Source organism: Homo sapiens, chromosome 2, assembly GCF_000001405.40.
Source record: "Homo sapiens chromosome 2, GRCh38.p14 Primary Assembly".
NCBI classification, from domain to species: Eukaryota; Metazoa; Chordata; class Mammalia; order Primates; family Hominidae; genus Homo; species Homo sapiens.
In genome coordinates this window covers 4,549,170-4,555,169 of record NC_000002.12, presented here as the reverse complement: position 1 = coordinate 4,555,169, position 6,000 = coordinate 4,549,170, and positions in this window count along the sequence as shown.

Here is a 6,000-nt window from a genome sequence, read left to right as displayed (position 1 = left end):
CCTCTGGTCCTAGATGTCCCCTTCTGTACCCTCTGCTCAAGTTTATTCCATTCCCGCATGGTCACCCTCCTGGCCTCTTCCCATTTGCCATTCACTGGGATCATTGATCTAGTGTTTAACTCCACACTTTCAGGAAATGATGCCTCAAGAAATGTCTAACTGAGGCCCTGCACTGGAGCCTTGGGAGAGGAGTTCAGGTCCCTGCCTAGACCCAGAGTCTTGGGCCCCCTAGAAGAAAGAATGAGAACAACTCTTATTTCAGCGCATCTGCACCACAAATATGGGACTTGGATGCCAAGGCAGAGAATCCTAATGTTTCTTGTGGGCAAGGTGCTGGGCAAGTGCTAAGCTGTTCCATAACATGCAAACCCTGCAAAAATATGCAGCCCTGGTGTCTCCGGGTCATGGGATCTCCATTTCCTGATGGTAAGGCTGAGATATGGAGTGTGAAACAACTTTGCTCAACTCTTAGGGGCAGGAAGTGCCTGAACTGGCAAGAAAGCCCAAGTCTTTAGGTTCCTGATTGTTTTTCTCTACACATTAAATATGGGATATATACAGTTAAAATATGGGACATTTTGGTAAATATGTACTTCAGATAATCAGCAGGTAATATTATTTTGGAGTTAATATGTCCTGTACAGTATGTCTATGCAAGCTTGCAAGACAGTCCTCACCAGGAACTGAATCAGCAGGTACCTGGATCTAGAACCTCCAGCCCCCAGAGCTGTGGGAAATAAATATCTGTTGTTGAAACCACCTAGTCTGTGGTATCTTGTCATGGCAACCTGAACAGACTAATTCATTTATATTAAAAACTAAAAAAGTCACTTCGGGAGGCCAAGGCAGGCGGATCATGAGGTCAGGAGATCTAGACCATCCTGGCTAATATGGTGAAACCCTGTCTCTACCAAAAATACAAAAAGAAAAAAAAAAAAAAAAAAAAAAAAAATTAGCCGGGCGTGGTGGCGGGCGCCAGTAGTCCCAGGTACTCGGGAGGCTGAGCCAGGAGAATGGCGTGAACCTGGGAGGCGGAGTTTGCAGTGAGCCGAGATCGCTCCACTGCACTCCAGCCTGGGCGACAGAGCGAGACTCCGTCTCAAAAAAAAAAAAAAAAAAAAAAAAAAGCACACACACACACCAAAAAATAAACAAAAACTAAAAAAGTATCCATCATTTATCTGATATTAAAATGTAGTGGGAAGTCATCTAATGTGATTGATTCACTAAATTAGGCATCTATCTTATTGCCTACACCTCTAGTATGAATCAAAAATAGATGATCTTGGGGCTTTGTGTAGAGGGCAGAGGGTTAGAAACATAAAAAATAAATTTATGATGGGGGATTGTTTGTATGTGAAACTAAGATTGCCTCATTTGCTGTGTTCTAAAAGCAGTGCTCAGATTATTATTTTACATGTTCTGGCCCCTTTTCACTTTCATGTTTTAGTGTAAATGGTTAAAAACTGAACTTAGCTTCAGTGTAGCAGTGTATTTGGCTACACGCATACATTCCAGAAGCTAATTTACCAAAGCAAGAGAGAGAGCCGTCAAGGAAAGGTTATACACTGCTTTGGAGACAGAACAGTTCTAACAAACACCCTGGGTTTTATTGTGATGCCACACTCGGTGTCGATGCAGTAGACCTCAAGCTTTTTATACATGAAGCCTGCTTGGGAACGTGGCGAAGCACACAGACCTCCCACGTGGACATCGCCTTGGGCGGCTGCCTGCTTGCAATGCTCCATGGATGATTCTGGGGCAGCTCTTCCACACATCTCACTTCGGCAAGACAGTGCTAGGGAACACCCCGCAAGCACAGCCAAATGATGAGACGCTTCCGTGCATACATAATGCAACTCGCCTAAGTAAGAATTGACTCGGATAACTGGTACAACACGTGCCAAAATAAATACGAGGCTTAGAGAAAACAGCATGCCCAAGTGTCTGATTTACTATTTTCATGCGGGGAAGAAAAGAACAAGGGCATTTCTTATTTAAGCAGTTTTTAGCAGTATTTGCCTAAAATAATCTTCCAATTTGGCATTACATTTAAACGGTATGAAATGCTGAAAGGCCTTACGCCTTATGTAGGACAGGTAGGACAGTTGCAGAAAATGACACCGGAAAAGTTGAGAAGGTCACTGAGCTTCTCATTTATGCGGCAGGTATTGGAGTCAGGACTGGACTTCAGACTCCAAATTCAATGCTTTTCAACACCGTTTCCTGTTCCTCACCAAGTGGACACTTTGGGAGTATCACGGTGCTTTGAGAAAAGATAAGGCTTTGAAACCAAAAAATGCTACATTTAAATGAGGTTCCACCATTTATTAACTGGCCAATTCCAAACAACTTAATAAACTCCCCTGAGTCTGTCAATTCGGCTTGGAGTCACTCTTTCAGCATAGACCAAGCTTCTACAATTAAGAGCTAAAAAGTTAAGCCTTCTCCTTCGTGGAATGTTCCTTTGGTTTCACAAAATGGTTTTGAATATTAAAAATAAAACTCTTAAAACAATTAATGGGCTTTGTAGGGATACATATGCATTCTGTCGTCTACATCAACTCTTTAAGCAGAGATATAATATTGGGTGGCAGGGCATAATTAATATTTATTTCTAGGAAGATACTTTGGAAAACCAGCGCTGCAATATGTTTCTGTTCACATTTTATGTGATGGGAGCTTCCTTCGTGATGCTGCACATAACAGGAAGAGCAACGAGAGCAAAACAAAACCAAAATGAAAATCTTTGAAATCATTAGTTCATATGAAAATAAGCCACTTATCTGTTGCTGGTACTTTCATTTGTTTCTATTTAGACTTTTCGGATAACTCAGCGGGCAGCAGAGACACCTCTGAGTCATCCCTTTTATGATGAGATAGGCAACACAGAATCATTTTTTTCTTTCACCTTGTCTCAACATTATAGTTGATGGGAACACATATCTGTGGCTGCCTGGAAGAATGAATCTGTCAGGCTGCCCTCATTGTACCGTTATTAAAGAGCTTAAGATCTTTAAGATGAAAAAAAATATATTCTGAGCAGTGGCTCGTGTTGGGGAATATGTTCAAACACAGAAAAGAAGCACTGGGGAAATCAACATTTTTTACTCTATCAGCAGTGTATTTATATTCCAGAAGATTAAAAGTTGCAGTCTCTGCAGTTGTCATTTTCTACCATCAAAGTTAAAACATAACAGCAGTTCAGAAGGAAGTATCAAAATATTCCTCCCTCGGCCTGCTGGCATCGAGCCTGCCCTTGGTGTGGGATTGCAGGCACCATGAAAGCAGGTGTGGCCATTCATTGGGCAAAGATCCTAGCCGGGCACCAGGCTGTGACACTTCAGAGAAAAGTGCATTCGAACTGGGAACTCTTTTGCCATAAAGGGAAAGCTCCTCTCTGAATGTCATCCTTTCCTGAGATGCAGAATTTCTTCAGCCTGAAAATGTATAAGATCTGACTTCAAAAAACACAGAGTTCCCTTTCTTTCCATGCCATCAGTGGTTTGCTGGAGCCAGCTCATACTGCTATAGGAGCCATTTTTTTTCAGTTTTTAAGAATTTCGTAAGTCAGTTGCTAAACACCAGAATTATTAAAAACTTAAGGTATCTAAACTTCAGTTAAATAAACTATATTAAAAGGAAACACATTGACTATTCAAGTACATCAATTCCTAATTATTATAGTAAATTTTTACTATTACCTATGCTTTTTAGGTTATTTGTATGTTTCATATGTATGAAGTAGAAATACTGTATAATGGGGCACTCATGAATATCTCTTCTCAATTTGTCATTTGATAATTTTCTTTTGTTAGCTGCAAACTGGCTATGGTAAGAATATTTTCACCATGGAAATTGGCAACTGATACAAATGTAACTATTTTCCTCAAGGACTGGTTATTAAATATTTACCGGTACAATTCTGATGCCATCACTTTAGTTAAAATACTATCACTTTTGCATTATACATGCTAATAGAAAAGAATTAAGTGCTAACTACTTTTAGTAGACAAGTTCTAAAATAATTTTGGTTGGCTTCAGGTAGTAGGTAAAGAAGATAGGATACTTCCTCTGCCTCTGTCATAGGCAGACACACATAAACAAACGTTTTATGTCTTTTCTTATCTCATTTTTTGAATCCCCTTAGAGATACCATTACTTTTTCCACCTAGTGAATTTTTATTCTTGATGTAAGAGCTAGCTCAGTTGTCCCTTTCTGTGAAAGCATTTTCCACACTTACAGGCAAACTCTGAAAGTTCATACCTTTGTGTTAAATTCTCAACGAGTTCTACTCTAGCATTTCCATTTAAAATTGTAACTGGCCATGATCGCCTCTTCTTGGCACGCTGTTTTCCTCTTAATCTACTTTGTCATTTATTTTATATGGCACTTATGATCTTCCTACCCATATGGAATTTACTTTTTTAATCATGTCTATTTCAGGTTCGATGAAGGCAAGGAATTCTAGTTTTCTTACATATCTCACATGCCTAAAACAGTGCTTAGCATATAGTAGATACTCAATAAATTGTTGAAAACTGAACGAATTAAATTTGGAAGATGGTGTGTGAAGTTGAGTTCCAGAGTGGGACAGGTCATCACTAACTCTGTGGCTTGGGCAAGTTATAGAAACTCTCTGTGTTTCATTTCACTGAGTAGTTATAAAACTGAGATTTTATTCACACACACACACACACACACACACAATGAGATAATATTAATATATGTGATGTATATAGCCTTAACCTCATTGACTAACATCTTGTACATACTCCAAAAGTGTTACTATTATTTCCTCTCACCGAGTCTTTCTTTCCTCGTGGACTTAATTAGTTATTAATCAAAGGACTACGCACAGCATTAGCTCTGTGACAGTCTATTTGCCAAAATGGTGAGTTGCCTCGTCCTCTGCGACAAGCAGACAGAATCAGACTTGACAACGCAGGGAATTTGGGGAGGAGTTATAGCTGGATTGCCATGGACAACCTGCTCAGAGGATAATGCGTTTTCAGCCAAGATGATGAAGCTCACTGTAGCAAACTGTGATTTGGCCCACTGCTGTAGCCTCTGCCAGTCTCCCAAGGATCTCATATGGAAAAGCAACTCACACGGTGATTAACCTTGAGATTTCAATTATAGATGAACTAAGGAAATGCCTGACGACCTGTCTTAGATTCTTAAACATGAGACACCCAAACATTTAAAAAAAGAGTCTTAAATTATTCAAATACCAGCCTTTGGGAGTGCAAGGATTTTGAGTCTTTTCTCATGTTGGGTGGTGCAGTGAGGCATGACGCGTGATGCACTGAGCCGTGAACATCCGTGGTGGGAGGTACGCTGGAAGCATATTGGGGAAAGCTTCACATGCTGCTTCCAGTAGGTACAGTAAGACAGGGGTTTCTGTCAATGGTTCACCTCCACCTGAGAGCCAAATTCATTTGAACTGCCTCTGTGGAGTTCTTACTTTCTACTACATCCATTCAAGAAAAAAAAATTTAAAGACACATTATCCCTCATTTTATTTACTGATAAGCGTTATATTTCATTCACTTAATAAATAATGACATTCTTCCAGGCCTAATAAGAATGATACTTCCTATAATATATCAACCACATGATAATTTTTGAAAATAAATTCCCTGGAAATACTCCTTCCGATAGAGTAGAAAGACTGGACCGCAAAAGTAATTTAAAAGTTTCATTGTGGGTTCTTTTCCTCTGTAATCTGTATAGTAAATTTATGAATAGGAAATCCTTCTAAAATATTGCAGACTTCAGAAATATCTGAGAACAGTCTGTGAAGCATGACTGACCTGATAAGTGACAGATAATATGATGGGATCTTGAGCTTCCCATGTGCTCCTTGTGGTCTGAAATATCTCTATTTTGTCCAAAGTAAGGCACAGGAAATTTAATCCTATTTCTTCTTAGTTTGCATAGTAGAGAGTATCTCTGAAACGTTGGGAAATTTGTTAAAAATTATTTTGTTACCTTTG